The sequence below is a fragment of the Homo sapiens genome, chromosome X, assembly GCF_000001405.40.
Source record: "Homo sapiens chromosome X, GRCh38.p14 Primary Assembly".
Taxonomy (NCBI): domain Eukaryota; kingdom Metazoa; phylum Chordata; class Mammalia; order Primates; family Hominidae; genus Homo; species Homo sapiens.
This window is the reverse complement of record NC_000023.11, coordinates 97280651-97298512: the sequence shown is the minus strand read 5'-3', so window position 1 is coordinate 97298512 and position 17862 is coordinate 97280651. Positions and strand designations below refer to the sequence as shown.

General features: G+C 39.8%; 1 protein-coding gene across 2 annotated transcripts in view, besides 2 other annotated features; it reads right to left on the bottom strand.

Annotated features, from left to right (window-relative positions):
• Nucleotides 1-17862, bottom strand: part of DIAPH2 (diaphanous related formin 2) — a 920156-nt gene that overhangs the window by 306485 nt on the left and 595809 nt on the right. The window lies entirely within an intron of this gene.
• Nucleotides 8062-8622: an enhancer, noted in NCBI's record as "OCT4-NANOG-H3K27ac-H3K4me1 hESC enhancer chrX:96544890-96545450 (GRCh37/hg19 assembly coordinates)". NCBI's record gives its function as "activates a minimal SCP1, AML or CMV promoter by ChIP-STARR-seq in naive H9 embryonic stem cells {active_cell/tissue: H9 hESC(naive)}" and the evidence as "EXISTENCE:reporter gene assay evidence [ECO:0000049][PMID:30033119]".
• Nucleotides 8623-9184: an enhancer, noted in NCBI's record as "H3K27ac-H3K4me1 hESC enhancer chrX:96544328-96544889 (GRCh37/hg19 assembly coordinates)". NCBI's record gives its function as "activates a minimal SCP1, AML or CMV promoter by ChIP-STARR-seq in naive H9 embryonic stem cells {active_cell/tissue: H9 hESC(naive)}" and the evidence as "EXISTENCE:reporter gene assay evidence [ECO:0000049][PMID:30033119]".

Here is a 17862-nt window from a genome sequence, read left to right as displayed (position 1 = left end):
ATGACGACTTTCTATACTTCTGACTATTCAAATGAGTTTTGCAAACATGACTTTTTAAATCTTATCATGGAACTCTCATTTTTTTTTCAATTTAAGTAGCATTAGATAAGCTGTGTTGCACTTATCATAGAGTAGATTCACTTCCATATTGAAAAAATTAGAAACTACAACACTTCCTTCACCGTTCCTTGATATTACTCATTATATTATCAACAATGTCAGATATCATGTTCAATCCATGTGTCTGTTCTAGCCAGCTCAAAAAAAAAAAAAAAAAACCTGAAAAACTTATACCGTTTTTGCTATTTATTCAAATTTCAGCTACTTACTAAATTCCAAATGCCTAGTATCAGGGTATGAGGAAAAAATTAATTTAGTTAAGGTAGCAATCAGAAATAGTAAAAAAATACAGCATTAGTTATAAATATGATTGAAGCAACATACCCTAAGCCCTCAAAATCACAAGCAGAAGTATATATAGGATGTAACAATTGCTCCAGACCTCTCTGACAACTAAAGCTGTGCAAATGTGTCTTATTTTTGTTTGGCTAGAAGACTGACTGGTAAACACATTAATTCTTACATCAATCTTAACACCATGGTATCCCCATATTATGGAGGGGGTAACTGTAGTATATAAACTAAAGGATATTCCCAAAGTCATGAAATTCAGAAAAGAATCAGGAATAGGTCTTAGTTTTCACAATAAGAACTCTATAAATTCCACCTGGCATTTTGTAAAAGGAGGAAACAAAATAGTCATAATAGTAATGCTTATATTGGGGGGAAAAGTCACACCAGTGGTAATTGTTGGCACCTGTCCCATTTATCCAAACCAGTAGAACCATAGCAATTTTCTCTTAATCTCTGTTTTGCTCCAACCACACTGAAAAAAAAAAAAAAAAAAAGTGCACTAAAAATTAACACTAAAATAAACTGGCAGAGGCGTTTGGGGAATTGTGTAGGATACTTTCACTCACTAGCTCATGTTTGCCACCAGTGCTATTTCCATGAATAAAAATCTACAGGAAAATTGACAGAAACATATTACTGACAGGTGGTTAGAGCCCCTGTTCTAAATAAATCTACATTATACAAGAAAGAAAACAATATGTCAGGAAAACTTCCCTGCTTTCAATTTCTACTGCTATTGTTATATTGTTTTTCACTCTTAAAATGAAGCAACTCTGCGATCAAGAATTTGTTATAAGCTGCTAAATGAAGGTCTCCATTTGGATATGCTCTTTAAGAAAATTATTTCCAAAAGGCCATCTTACAGTTCTGGTTTCTCTTATGAGTTGTCGCTTGTGTAATTTCTATATGTCAGACTTGGTTAGCTCATAGTGCTAATGAGGCCAAGGTCATGAGTCTGATTCTTGTAAGAGCCAGTTAGTTTTGTTTAAAAAAAAAAAAAAAAAAAAAAAAAAAAAAAAAAAGGCCAGGCCTGGTGGCTCACACCTGTAATCCCAGCACTTTGGGAGGCTGAGGTGGGCAGATCACCTGAGGTCGGGAGTTCGAGACCAGCCTGACCAACATGGAGAAACCCTATCTCTACTAAAAATACAAAATTAGCCGGGCGTGGTGGCGCATGCCTGTAATCCCAGCTACTTGGGAGCCTGAGGCAGGAGAATCGCTTGAACCCGAAAGGCAGAGGTTGCGGTGAGCCGCGATCATGCCACTGCACTCCAGCCTGGGCAACAAGAGCAAAACTCCGTCTCAAAAAAAAAAAAAAAAAAGTTCTGTAGCCAATACCTATAACTATAGCTGGCCAGGCTACAAATTCATGTCCCTGGTTAAAATAGGAACCAGAAAAGGTATAGATGGGGCAAATGCCCTAATGGCATAAAGAGTTTCATATTCAAATACAGAGTTCCTATAATGTTTACATAAACATTGGGAAATTATGGTGTAAAATCACAATCACGCCAATGACACATAAAAAACATTTTCAGAATACATCAACAACATATGCTTACATGTGAGAGAATTTAAAGATCTCAGAGGGAAAACAAGCAATACACATATACAATAGCTATATGTCCCAGAGATACATGTACACAGGATAATGTATAATATGGATAATTATAAAATAATATACATAAATAAGAACATAAAGCTGACAACTTCAGGCATAGATAAATTAATACATAAAGAGAATGGTGTTTCAGGAAGTAATTAAGTTTGCTTAGATCACAAGATAAATGAAGGGTAGTAGGGAAAATTCCTATATTATTCAAGGGCCTAATTAGTTTGGAGCCACTCCATTTTTCTCTAGGCTAAGGACAGCTAAATACACCTAGCCATGCTTGGGAAAGATTTATCTCAGGAAAGTATATGAAATGGACTGGAGGGAGGTAGAGACGGGGGAACTGGCTAGACTACTACTGCAATAGTTCTGGCAAGAAGTAATGAGAGCTTGTGCCAAGGTAATAATAGAAAGTGACTAGATGGGAACAAATACATTGTAAAAGAAGAAAATATGGCTGCGTATGGTGGCTCAACCCTGTAATCCCAGCACTCTGGGAGGTTGAAGTGGGCAGATGACCTGAAGTTAGGAGTTCGAGACCAGCCTGGCCAACGTGGTGAAGCCCTGTCTCTACTAAAAATACAAAAATTAGCTGGGCATGGTGGTGCACGCCTGTAATCCCAGCTACTCAGGAGGCTGAGGCAGGAGAATAGCTTGAACCTGAGAGGCGGAGGTTGCAGTGAGCTGAGATTAGGCCATTGCACTCCAGCATAGGCGACAAAAGTGAAACTCCATCTCAAAAAAAAAAAAAAGAAGAAAATACAGCATGTATTAATTTAGCAAGCAACTGAATGCAGTGATTAAGAGCCTTAACTATAGAGTCAGATTGTGTAGATTTGAATCTTAACTCTTCTGTTTACTAGTCTTCTGAATTTAGGAAGGTCCCTAATTTCTCTGTGCCTCAGTTGATCCAACTGTAAAATGGAGACCATAGTAACTCCTAACTCATAGGATAGTTCTGAGGATGAAATGTTAAAGGCCTGGCACATATTTGATTATTTTTATAGAATCACTATGTTTAGATTGTTTTAGGTGTTTATTTCATTGTCGTAATTTAAGCACTTAGACTTAATTACACTCCAGGGAAAAGCAACATTGTTTTAATAGTATTGGTTTCACATTTTCATGATTCTCTTGTCTACCTTTGTTTGTTCCTAATTCATACGTGAATAGTGACAAAAGTTCAAAGTGGCTACTGCAAAAGATAATATTTGAATTCCAAAAGCTCATGGTAAATGCTAAACAAATGGTAAAAATGATAATTATTGAATGGATGTGGGAGGCAAGAGAGAGTGGTATCAAGAAAACCACCAGTGATAAACCTGTATAACTAAGGAAAGTGATGGTAACATTAAAAGAAATAGATTCCAGAGGAAGATGAATGAGTTTATTAGTAAATATACTGAGTTCGGGGGTTAAGGATCTATATCTAGGTAGAAACATGGAGTTAATGGTTAGAAGATTAGGGCTGGTGTGTCAAAGAGTGAGCAAAAAAGGGAGACATAAAGCTAATAGTCCTGCATGTTAAAGCGTTGATTAAAGTTTTGGGACTAGTGAAGACAGCCAAGGGAAATGAAGAAAGAAGGTAAAATAGAGGAAAATTATAAAAGCAGATGAAGTGTTTCGTACACAAAAGCAAGATCAAGTAGTGATGGCGTAAAGAAAACACAAATGTAATGTCACATACCTGGAACTCCGTAAATATTAGTTGAATATTTGCTAAATTATAAAAATTACTCGCAATTTTACAATTCAATTTTATGACCTACATATGTTTAAGAGAAAAAAATATGATGATGATAGTGTATAACAAATAGCTTCAAAGTTCAATAGAGTATGATATATCTAAATTGTTATATTAAGTGCTATTGATTTTTTTCTTGTGGATGCTCTACATTCCTATAATCATCTGTGTGAAATAAAGTAAGAAAGACTAATCTGCCTCCTGTAACTAATATGCACAAATATAACTTGAATAACTCAAAGAGAAATATAATTTCTTAAAAAAACTAGACAAAGTGCTATAGAAATAATCTGCATGTTTGGATTCCAATATGTTACAAAATGTTATTCAATACAGATGTAAGTCACTTCCTCTTTCTGGGTCTCAGTTTTCTCATCCATAAATTAAGACCAACGAACTGGAATGTTTCTAAATTACTTTCCAGTCCTAATAAATAAGGATGTTATCTTTATAGAGATCTTGCTTAGATAGGCTGGCACTGGGCAGTGAAAGAAAACCAAGGAGGCAAACCAGTCACCATCAGATAATTTATGGGTGAAAGTCAGGGGCTGTCTATTACTTAAGAGGCGAAGTCCAGGGTGGACAACAACGGCTGGCATGTGACAAGATAAACTACGAACCTACCCAGGATAAGAAGGCAAGGAATCCATTCAAATATAGGGGTGAATGGTGGACTAGATATTCAATCCAGCCAATAAATTCTGCTGAACACCTTCCTTCAAGCTGTTTTTATAAGATCTCCCCTATACATAGAAGCTTATATTCCACATGGTCTCAAATGCTAAAATTTTACTTGATACTTCGAACATATTAATATCATAAAAGAAATAAGGTAAGTTTTGAAATTCAAACATTATCTTTTGCAGTAGCCACTCTGAACTTTAATCACTATTTATGTACAAATTAGGAACAAACAAAGATAGACAAGAGAATCAAGAAAATGTGAAACCAAGACTATTAAAAGAATGTTGTTTTTCCCTGGAGTGTAACTAAGTCTAAGTGCTTAAATTACAAAAAGAAATAAACACCTAAAACAATCTAAACATAGTGAGTCTATAAAAATAATCAACTATTTATAAAATATAAAGTTCCTAAATTTACTTGTTATATCTATTATAAAAGACAAGGCCTTCAAATATCTAAATCCCTAGTCATGACATACACAAAATAATAATAAAGAAATGTCAACAAAGACCGGGGGCAGTGGCTCACGCCTGTAATCCCAACACTTTGGGAGGCCAAGGTGGGCAGATTACGAGGTCAGGAGACAGAGACCATCCTGGCCAACATGGTGAAACCCCGTCTCCACTAAAAATACAAAAATTAGCTGGGCCTGGTGGTGCATGCCTGTAATCCCAGCTACTCGGGAGGCTGAGGCAGGAGAATGGCCTGAACCTGGGAGGCGGAGGTTGCAGTGAGCCAAGATATTGTGCCACTGCACTCCAGACTGGCGACAGAGCTAGACTCCGTCTCAAAAAAAAAAAAAAAAAAAAAAAAAAGAAAGAAATATCAACAAAGACAGGCCTAAAATAAAAACAAGACCTAAGCATGGAAGACGATAAAAACACGAGAGATATTGAGTAGGACACAGAGGTACTAGAATTTATAGTGACATTAGAAAATCTCTAAGAGTAGATTTGTTGGCCTAAGTCTTTTGTAGGCTCACACATCCTTTTTCACTTTCATGTTATTATTCATTCTCCTCTTTCATTTAATTAGGGAATGCTTATCTGACTTGTCAGTTAATTCTGGCTTTAATAAGCTTGAGTGGGTAAGTCTGTTATACTATTGCTCAGCCATTTAAACACTGCTTTTTTCTTTTGCATAAATTTCCAAATGGCTATTATTTAGTTTATTAAGAATTTATATCCTGACCGCTTCCAAATATATTTGAAGCAACTTATAACATTTAATATAAGAAAGTTAAATATAATGTGAAAATAGCATTATCAACGATAACAATAGTAGACATGCTCTTGAGTGAGTTGAGGAGCTGTATGAGCTAGTTTTAAAAATTGGATATTAAAAATTAGCCGGGCATGGTGGCACATCCCTGTAGTCCCAGCTACTCGGGAGGCTGAGGCAGGGGAATCGCTTGAACCCAGGAGGCGGAGGTTGCAGTGAGCCAAGATCGCCCCACTGCACTCCAGCCTGGTGACAGAGTGAGACTCCGTCTCAAAAAAAAAAAAAAAAATTGGGTATTAAATTGGCACATAGGTTCTCTGGCAGCTAGGCTAAAAGAGTGATGCATGTAACATAATTTTTAACATCTGATTAAAAGAAAACAGACATCTTTCTACATAAAGATCTTTCTGGTAGTACAAATTTCATCATGTGGATCTCTGTAATGAGAGGCTTTGAAAACACAGTAGACAATAACTTCAGTTACAATTTAATAAAATCTACTAAATACTGTACAAATGGATGTTTTAAAAATTGCTTCTATATTAGGAGGGTGACACAGGAGGACTGCTTGAGCCCAGGAGTTCTAGACCAGCCTGGGCAACATGGCAAGACCCTGTTTCTACAAAAATAAAGATTAAAAAATTAGCCTGGTGTGGTGTCATGCACCTGTGGTCCCACCTATTCAGGAGGCTGAGGCAGGAGGATCCACTGCACTCCAGCCTGGGTGACAGAGCAAGACTCTGTCTCAAAAAAAAAAAAAAAAAATTGCTTCTATAAGTAGCTAATAAAACTAGCAGTATTAATAGAGCAGAAATATCAGTAGTGTAAATGTCAGAAGGGCTGATTCAAATCCTGTATACATCAATCACTAGTCATGTAATTTTTGGCAAGTGACTTAACTGTTTCCTTATCTGTAAACTAAGGATAATAACATATGCCTTGCCTGACAACCAGATAGTTGAAGGATCAAATGACAGTATTGTATATGAAAGTGTTTACTTGCTGGGCCCGGTGGCTCATGCCTGTAATTCCAGCACTTTGGGAGGCTGAGGTGGGGGAATCACCTGAGGTCATGCGTTCGAGACCAGCCTGACCAACATGGTGAAACCCCATCTCTACTAAAATACAAAAACAAAAATTAGCCGGGAGATGTGGCGGGTGCCTGTAATCTCAGCTACTTGGGAGGCTGAGGTGGGAGAATCGCTTGAAACCAGGAGGCGGAGGTTGCAGTGAGCCCAGAACGCGCCACTGCACTCCAGCCTGGCAACAGAGTGAGACTCTGTCTCAAAAAAAAAAAAGTGTTTACTTTGTTTACTTGTTGTATTAGTAGAAGCTATTCCTGGTCCTATCACTAATATTACCATCACAATAGTTAAAATTCACAGAAAAAATATGGAGATAGACACACTAGCTTTTTAAAATTTATTTTTATTTTTTTGAGACAGAGTTTTTGCTCTTGTTGCCCAGGCTGGAATGCAGTGGTGCGATCTCGGCTCACCACAACCTCTGTCTCCTCTACCTCCCAGGTTCAAGCAATTCTCCTGCCTCAGCCACCAAGTAGCTGGGATTATGGGCACGTGCCAACATGCCTGGATAATTTTTTTGTATTTTTTAGTAGAGACGGGGTTTCACCATGTTGGCCAGGCTGGTCTCAAACTCCTGACCTCAGGTGATCTGCCCGCCTCGGCCTCCCAAAGGGCTGGGATTACAGGCATGAGCCACAGCACCCAGCTTTTTTGTTTTTTTTTTGACAGAGCCTGGCTCTGTTACCCAGGCTGGAGTCAGTGGCATGGTCTTGGCTCACTGCAACCTCTGCCTGCCGGGTTCAAGGGTTCAAGCAATTCTCCTGTCTCAGCCTCTACAGTAGCTGGGATTACAGGCACCTGCCACCACTCCTGGCTAATTTTTTTCTTTTTTTGTATTTTAGTAGAGACAGGGTTTCACCACGTTGGCCAGGCTGGTCTCAAGCTCCCAACCTCAAGTGATACACCTGCCTCGGCCTCCCAGTGTGTTGGGATTACAGGCGTGACCAGCCCGGCCAAGACAGATACACTAGCTTTCTTAAAGCCATTGTAGAACCTTGTTCTCTGGGTCCAACAATCCATTTTCCAACCAAGGTCAGAACAATCTTTACAATGACCTCAAGTCACTGCCTAAATCTTTTAGGTCCCACATCACCCTCAGGATATAATTAAACCCAGGGCCAACTTCCTGGGCATAAGTCCTGTGCAGTCACACACAGGCCAATGTTTAGAAGAGCCCTGTGCATGGTTTAATACTCTTATGCTGACATCTTGAAATTCTCAATGATTTTTAACAAGGGCCCCACATTTTCATATTGTACTGGCTACATACTTTTTGTGGCCACACAAGTTATGTAACCAGTCATGATGAAACCCCTTGAAATGAGATCCAAAGTCCCTCAGAATGTGGATCATGCTTACCTCTCCAGCTTTGCCCGCCCTGTTCCCTTGGAAACTATTCTAAGGCTCAATTATGCTAAACAACCTTTAGCTTCCTAAATGTCTTATGCTCTTTCAATCTCCTTTGTCTTTGCTGATAGTCTCCTTGCTCTGTTTCTCTTTGCATTACAATAAAATGAAAGCAAAGCAAATGGATCTCTTTTATAATTTTCAAATACAATCTTACTTCCAGAATTCTATTGCATTTTCCAATGGCATTTTAGGGTTGGTGGAGAAATACTAAGTTTTGATAACCCATGAATGTGATGATATCTAATTATATATATATATATATATATATTTAAATTACTGCCAAGGGAAGGAAAATAAGAGTGGAAGGGATGAGGTCAAGCAGTGGATTGCTGGCTGGATGCGGTGGCTCATGCCTGTAATCCCAGCACTTTGGGAGGCCAAGGCAGACAGCTCACTTGAGGCTGGCCTGGCCAACATGGCAAAAAGCTGTCTCTACTAAAAATGCCAAAAGTTAGCCAGGTGTGCTGGCACACGCGTGTAGTCCCAGCTACTCGGGAGGCTGAGGCAGGAGAATCGCTTGAACCCAGGAGGCAGAGGTTACAGTGAGCAGAAATTACACCACTGCACTACAGCCTGGGCGACAGAGCAAGACCCTGGGTCAAAAAACAAACCAAAAAAAAAAAAAAATTGGATTGTTGTTTTTACTGCTTCAACCTCACCTTAAGCACAGTGTTTGCAGTGGCATTGGTCAAAGGTTAGGAACCCATGGTTCTCAGAGCTACAACTTTCAGATTCTGATTTAATTGATCTGGGATGGTGTCCAGGCATCAGTATTTTTTAAAAGTTCCCCAGATGATTCTAATGTGTATTGAGGGTTGAGAACCACTGAGATACAAGAACTTTAAAGAGCAGTAAGTTAAATGAGATGTAGCAGCTCAAGGTGTTGAGGTATAAATAAGCCAGCTAATTACCAGAGCAGGACTGCTGGGGAAGCCTATTAAATGGACAATGTAAATGAAGACATAAACATGACACCATTTAAAGCAAATCTAATAGAAAAGATTAGTGGCATTACAGCATGTTTTGTATTTGTGATTTATCTTGAATATTTCTGAATTTCTGAATGGATTAAACAATGTCCATATATGTTGAAAGGCAAGCAGTATGAAACTACCATTTCAACACCTGGGAAGATTATAGACAAATGTTATAATACATTAATTATGGACATGTTATGTTTTAACATCAATTTAGAGAGCAAGATTTCTGTACCCTTGCTGAATGTCAGATTTCTGTCTCAAAAATCCCGTATTTGGTTGATAGAGTCCATAACTCATTTGAGCAAAAAGCACCTTCAAAATAACCATAGAAGCAGCAACACCCTGGACAAAAACAAATTGGTGAGTTTAGAAAATACACGGGAAGAATTCATCAATATTAAAACATTAGTTAACTAAGAAAATAAAGTTGTTACAAGAGAAGGAATGTTGCTCACAATAAAATTTAAAATGGGGCACCTGAAATATATGACACGTTAAGTTCATGAGGGAGCTAGGTAATCAAGGAGGACAAATGAGGAGCTTAACCAGTTCTAATTGGCTGGCTTTCCAAGGTTATGAGAAAGTGCTCTTAGAGTGAATCGGTGTTTTTTTTTTTTTTTTTGAGACAGAGTCTCGCGCTGTCACCCAGGCTGGAGTGCAATGGTGTGATCTCAGCTCACTGCAACCTGTGCCTCCCAGGTTCAAGCGATTCTCCTGCCTCAGCCTCCCAAGTAGCTGAGACTATAGGCATGTGCCACCACACCCAGCTAATTTTTGTACTTTTAGTAGAGATGGGGTTCACCATGTTGGCCAGGCTGTTCTCGAACTCCTGACCTCGTGATCCACCCACCTTGGCCTCCCAAAGTGCTAGGATTACAGGTGTGAGCCACTGCGACCGGCCTGCAGAAATCTTTTCATTTAAGCCATCTATTAGTTGATTCCTGGCCTCCCTTCCTTCACAATTTAGCATGGCCCCACAGTTCATCATTTAAATTATATAATTACTAGCCCTGTCAATTTCCTTTAACCTTACTGCTTCCACGTCTGCCAAGTAAAGCTCTAACTCTGGACCAAATACTTCAAGTACTATCTCTGCTGTTATACTAGGGTGACTGCAGGATACTGAAGGAAATCACAGAATTATAAAGTAGCAACAATACTAATTTATACTCACCAACCTCAGCCAAGCCCTCAGCATCATCTAGAAGCACTTTTCATTTGTATGTGTTTTGTTTTTCCTCCTTTGCTGCACAGATAATACTCCAAAATCACCATCGTTCTAAAATCCTGTATCTAGACTCTTTCAGTCAAACAGAAAATCCAGATTTGCTTTTAAGTCTTCCTCACCATAAACAAGATATTTGTCTTTGTGAAGGCATTAATTTTTTTTTTTTTTTTTTTTTTTTTTTTGAGACAGAGTCTCACTCTGTTACCCAGGCTGGGGTGCAGTGGTGCGATCTTGGCTCACTGCAACCTCTGCCTCCTGGGTTCAAGTGATTCTCCTGCCTCAGCCTCCCGAGTAGCTGGGATTAAAGGTGCATACTAGGCCCGGCCAATTTTGGTATTTTCAGTAGAGACAGGGTTCACCAAGTTGGCCAGGCTGGTTTCTTTCTTTTCTTTACTTTTTTTTTTTTTTTTTAAATAATTGACTTTTAAAACTTCTTTTTACACAGGTCACAACATCAACTTCAAAAGACAAGAGCTTGATTCCATACTCTAATACTGTGTCATCTAAACTCTGTGGTAATATGTTTGTTTGTGGTGACAAATGAAAGCACCCAACACCCATACCTAAAATCACTACAAAGTACATAAATGCCTTTGACAATTTTATATAGCCTACTGATATATAAAGCATTCCAGGTATAAAACAAAACAAAAGCATACCTGTGTGTAACTAGATATTAAAATTTGACTCTTCGCATTTTTCAGTGATTGGCAATATCAGATAAACAGTAGATAGAAAAACGTGTATCAGCTAAACAGTACATAGAAAAGTGTGTATAAGACAGATTTCCATATGCAGAATTTTCCCCAAAACAAATTTTTTTTTTTTTCCCGACGGAGTTTCACTCTGTTGCCCAGGCTGGAGTTCGGTGGCATGATCTTGGCTCACTGCAACCTCTGCCTCCAGGTTCAAGTGATTTTTATGCCAGAGAATAAATAGCCGGGATTACAGGCACGCATGGCCACACCCAGCTAATTTTTGTCCTTTTAGTAGAGACGGGGTTTCACCATGTTGTCCAGGCTCCAAAAAATTCTTAAAATCATTTTTATAATTCTCATATTCCCTTTGTTGGAAGCTTGCTCATCCATTTCACAAATATGAAAGGGTAAATGTAGTGGAGGAAAAGAGGATTTTGAAAGACATTCTTTGGAAGAAGTTGTTGCCATGATAACACCTGCTCCATCTTGCTCCTTACCCCACTGCCAAGTATGTGGACAGAGATGCTACATTCTTCAAGTTGAGCGAAGTGAAGGGACATTGATCAGGCTATTCAGAAAAGGAATGTGTTCCTTGAAGTTGCGGGACCCAGAAGAGGGGTATCTGGGTCATTCCTGAAGAGGCCAAGGTGCCCCATGCCAGTGGTATACAGACAGGATTCGATCTCTGTAGTCTCAGAGTTTTTCAGGGCAAAGACCTGCATGAGTGTTTTCCATGGACTAGAAGTGAGCCACGTGGGAGTGAGAGGTGCCCGTATTTCAGTCCTATCCAAGAGGAACATCTGGGAGTTCAGGCGTACTCCGCCAGAGAATCCTTGTTAAAATATGTGTGGCATGGAGCTCTGAGAAGACTGGGACAACATGCAAGTGGCAAGCTGAAGGAAATATATTACCCACATTAAGGGAATTGCAGAGGAGGGTCTCAAAGCAGAAAAGTACCTTGCCCCCTCTAGCATTGCAACAGCCCAGCTTGGAAGCAGAAAACAGTTTACTTTTAACTTAAAACCCGAGAGTTTAGATTGCTACTATTGCTAGCATGCTAGAGGGTAGCATTCTATTAATAGTTTCTGGGCCAGGCGCGGTGGCTCATGCCTGTAATCCCAGCACTTTGGGAGGCTGAGGCGGGCAGATCACAAGGTCAGAAGTTTGAGACCAGCGTGGCCAACATGGTAAAACCCCGTATCTACTAAAAAAATACAAAAATTAACTGGGCATGGTGGTGTGTGCCTGTAATCCCACCTGTAATCCTACTTGGGAGGCTGAGGCGGGAGAATTGCTTGAACCCGGGAGGCAGAAGTTGCAGTGAGCCGAGATCGCACCACTGCACTCCAGCCTGGGCGACAGAACCAGACTCCATCTCAAAAAAAAAAAAAAAAAGTTTCTGGGCTGAGATTGTATTAGCAACTCACAGAAACTTTAGAGACCTAAAAGCAAGCAGAAAAGTCATGGAAACGGCCTAGATTTTCATCTAGGTGTAGGACAAGGTAATCCCCACAAAATAAATATTAAAGAAGTAACAGGAGGCTGGGCACAGTGGCTCACGCCTGTAATCCCAGCACTTTGGGAGGCCAAGGCAGGCAGATCACTTAAGGTCAGGAGTTTGAGACCAGCCTGGCCAACATGGTAAAACCTCGTCTCTACTAAAAATACAAAAATTAGCTGGGCATGGTGGCACACACCTGTAGTCCCAGCTACTCGGGAGGCCGAGGTGGGAGAACCACTTGAACCCAGGAAGCGGAGGTTGCAGTGAGCCAAGATCACTGCCACTGCACTCCAGCCTGGGCAACAGAGTGAGACTCCGTTTCAAAAAAAAAAAGTAACAGGAGACACAATTGTGTATTGATCCTAGTCTACGGGTTATGCTCATCCTACATATAGGTTAAAAGTTCAGGATTATAGCAATAACCAAGTTTGTAGTATCCATCCTGACATATTGATGTACTATTGCAAAAAGATGCAACATAGCATTTGAAACAATTATACAGACTGCCAGCCTGACCATAACTGAATCTTTTTTTTTTTTTTTTTTTTTTTTGTATTTTTAGTAGAGACGGGGTTTCACCATGTTGGTCAGGCTGGTCTTGAACTCCTGACCTCATGATCCACCCGCCTCAGCCTCCCAAAGTGCTGGGATTACAGGCATGAGCCACCGCGCCCGGCCCCATAACTGAATCTTACAGGCATTCTAGAAAGCTGAATTTGAAAGGTTCATGTCATTATGCATAAAATACAAGAAAGGTGGAAGGGGAATAATTCATTCAAATAACTGGGTTTGCTTCCAGGTTTCTTTCATTGCAAATCTGATTGTTATAAACATTTTCCAGTTGGCCTCACACTTGGTGTAATGGTGACACTGTACTGTTTTTCATTGTTTTATAAAGAAGTAATCTTGCAGCTAGGTTAATGACTTCTGCAAGATTAGGAAACTGATATCTTTAATTTATGTCTCTAGATTACAAATAGAATGGCTTTTCATCAGTGGGGTTGAATGCTTTTATTTGTTCAATAACTATTGAGTGCTCTGTGCCACATACTGTGCTAGGGGACTGGGATAGAAATGAGGTTATAGCCCTTGCCTTCTAGGTATTCATAGCTTAGAAAAGAGATAGATACACAAGTAAGATATGGCACACTAAGCATTCTCTCTCTCTCTCTAACTCCAAATATTCACAATTTGAGAACTTCCTGGGAGGCTGGCGAGAGAAAAAAATGTGCCTGATGCATATAGTTTGCCTTTGCACCATGACTCAATAACATGTTCATTCACTTATCGGGAATCTTGTAACTCTTTGTTTTTTTTTTTTTTTTGAGACGGAGCTTTAGTCTTGTTGCCCACGCTGAAGTACAATGGCGCGATCTCGGCTCACCACAACCTCCGCCTCCCGGGTTCAAGCGATTCTCTTACCTTAGCCTCCCGAGTAGCTGGGATTACAGGCATGCACCACTATGCTCGGCTAATTTTGTAATTTTAGTAAAGACAGGGTTTCTCCATGTTGGTCAGGCTGGTCTCGAACTTCCGACCTCAGGTGATCCACCCACCTCAGCCTCCCAAAGTGCTGGGATTACAGGCATGGGCCACTGTGCCTAGCCCAGGAATCTTGTAACTCTCATGTATTGCATGCATAAACACCAAGAAGAGATGTCCTTATGAACATCACAACAACCACTGTTGTCTTGGCTTGCTGGGCAAGATGCTGTGCTAATATTTAGTCAGATTACATTAGGATAGCTGCATTGGTTATTAAAATACTAAAAAAATATTTTCATACAAGTTGGTAAATAACTTCTGTCCTAGCTGCACTAGCCCCTCATCCCAGAACTCCCCAGACATACTCGTGACCTGTTAGCTAAAAGGTACCTGGCAAAGCAAGGGCCTCTTAGACTCCAGTTCAGCCTACGATTGCATCTATTTTGATTGGTCAATGCTCATGACATATTAGTTGTTAAATATTTTATTTTATTTTATTATTTTTTTTGAGATGGAGTTTCACTCTTGTAGCCCAGGCTGGAGTGCAATGGTGCGATCTCGACTCACTGCAACCTCCACCTCCCAGGTTCAAGTGATTCTCCTGCCTCAGCCTTCCGAGTAGCTGGAATTACAGGCATGGGCCACCACATCTGGCTAATTTTGTATTTTTAGTAGAGACAGGGTTTCTCCATGTTGGTCAGGCTGGTCTCAAACTCCCGACCTCAGGTGTTCCGCCCGCCTTGGCCTCCCAAAGTGCTGGGATTACAGGCGTGAGCCACCGTGCCTGGCAGTTGTTAAATATTTTAAATATCATCCCACGAGTACAAAGAAATGCTAAAATTGGCCAATCAATGGCCCTCATATAAGCATAAATGTGTAGAAATGGGAACAGAGTCCTAACACGCTCATGTCTAGGGAGTAGTCCTCTCTTTAAAGATTCATTAGCCATTGTTAGACGTAAGATATGGCACACTAAGCATCCTCTCTCTCTCTCTCTGAAAGTCTGCATTTCAGATGAAACTCAGTAAGATTTCTAGCCCTGCAAACTTGTTATCTATGTGAGCTTGGGCGAATTATTGTACCTTATGCACCTCAGTTTCAAGGGTTAAAGAATAGTGGTTATATCCTAGGATAACATCATCATCATCATCACTACCACCATCATCAGACAGGTAGGTCCATCCATGAATAGTTTCATGTGTTTGTGACAACCACAAAATCAAAGGGTAATCATTTACACAAAGCAAGTATATTCTTATCTGTCAATAAGTAGATAGATAGATGATAGAATGATACTCACATACATGTTGTATCCCTGATTTGGCCACCAACTAGCTATATGACCACATGCAAATTACATAACTGGTTTAGGAATACTCAGTACCTCTAAAGTGGATCTGGAAGGTGTCTGTCAGCCTCCATCTACCACTACCCTTGATTTCTCAACCTATGTCTAACATCCAATTATGTTATGACATCCTAATGTCCCAGTGGGTTAAAAAAAATGCCAGAAATGTGATGGAACAGGAAACACGATCATACATGAAATTTGCTATGTACATCATGATGCAAATCATGATCTTTTTCTTGTGTAATACTGAAAAGAGCATTTTGGTAAGGGAGAAACAAAGCAAAACCATGAGCATAAATTAATCCAGAGAACTACCACTATCATGTTAGAAATTTTAGTTACATCATGCCTCAGGTAGAAATTGTCAAAAAGCAAAAATATAAAGGTCATCTATCAAGAGGCAAATAAATGGAAAGGATTAAAGATGACAATGTGCTTTTCTTAATTCAATTGTCTGTTATTTGGATACATTCTTTAAAAAATGCACTAAAGGCCAGGCATGGTGGCTCATGCCTGTAATCCCAGCACTTTGGGAGGCCAAGGCAGGCGAATCATGAGGTCAGGGGTTCGAGACCAGCCTGGCCAACATGGTAAAACCCCATCTCTATGAAAAATACAAAAAATTAGCTGGGCGTGGTGGCAGGTGCCTGTAATCCCAGCTACTCGGGAGGCTGAGGCAGGAGAATCGCTTGAACCTGGGTGGCGGAGGTTGCAGTGAGCCGAGGTTGCAGTGAGCCAATTTCGCGCCACTGCACTCCAGCCCAAGCGACAGTGCGAAACTCCGTCTCAAACAAAACAAAACAACGCAAAACAAAAAGCACTAAAAGTGGCTACTGGGAATTACAACTTAGCACTTCTGGGTGAGATTCAGTTGCCGCTGTGAAGCCATAGGCACACAAAGACAAAACATAGGTGCCTTCTGCTAGTTATAAGCCTGGGAGACTTCATCTAGTTTACTGTTGAACTCTGAGGGTATAATTTGACAAATTAGTTTTTCCACTCCTCAAACTTCACAACTGAATACTTAGTAAATAAATTTCATACCCTCATCAATGCTTTTTTTTTCTTTTTTTCTTGAAAGCAACATACCAGTGTTGACTTTTAAGCAAGAGACTCTCCTCTTCCTCAGGATTAACATTAGAAAAGCCCAGCCTTTTCAGTAAGTGTATACCCAGTGCCAATATTATTCACGCTATTTATTATTAACGTAATATCTACATTTTTTCATTATACATCAAGCTAAGGAGCTTTACATTATACAATTTTTCCCCAGACTTTAATGAACTTTGTTGCAAATGTATATACAATGAATTGTGTTTTACCTTAACCTTTTGCGTATGTGTTTTTTTTTTTTTTGAGACGGAGTCTCACTTTGTTGCCCAGGCTGGAGTGCAGTGGTGCGGTCTTGGCTCACTGCAACCTCCGCCTCCTGGGTTCAAGCGATTCTCCTGCCTCAGCCTCCCGAGTAGCTGGGACTACAGGCGGCCGTTGCCACGCCCGGCTAATTTTTTGTATTTTTAGTAGAGACGGGATTTCACCATGTTAGCCAGGATGGTCTCGATCTCCTGACCTCGTGATCCACCCACCTCGGCCTCCCAAAGTGCTGGGATTACAGGTGTGAGCCACTGCGCCCGGCCTCCTTCTTTGTATGTGTTCTAAAATATTCTACCATTTCTAGGTAATATATTAAAGGGCGCAGGAGCCTTAAATGATCTACCCATGAATTTCAGTATGTTTCAAGAAATCCTTGAAAAGGAACCACAGAGATCTATTCAATCATTAAGAGCTACAAATACAGTAAATAAGAAGAGTTTTAATCTATTAAAATCTAATTCTAAAGACCTTGTTCCAAATGGAGTATGCTATTCCAACGTTGTGTTTATATATAAATACACATCACTTTTCAAGAAATACTTTCTTTGTCTGCATGTTTTGTCCCATGCCAGTCTCAATAGCACTATTAAATATAAAACAATCCTACAGGGGCGTAAAGAGTTTTACTCTTGAAATTAGGTTTAAAGAAAACGTATCATGATGCAAAAAGTAGAAAATCTTTCAGTTTAAGAGGAAATTAATACAAAGTCAAAACACATTCACATTTCACTTCCTTTGCTTTTTAAACTGCTGAAGGTATACCTGTAAAATAGTCATTACTCAGTTTAAATTAGTGATAGCTAAAAGCTATACAAAAAGATCTGGTGGTTTTAATTTTATTCATCAAATCTCTACCTCAGGGACCCGGGGAAATGCAGAGAAGTGCACTGCATATTTATAAGGCCTCTGGGACCCTAGCAGGCTTCCAAATACCTTGTTTGTTGCAATCTGCTTGTCAAACCATTAAAGAAGTAAAATCCACACTCTATCCCCTATTGTATATGCAGACTTTCTCTGTTAATTAAATCAAAACTATATGATTCCAAAGAGGAGAAACAGTGTAATATCTAGTGCC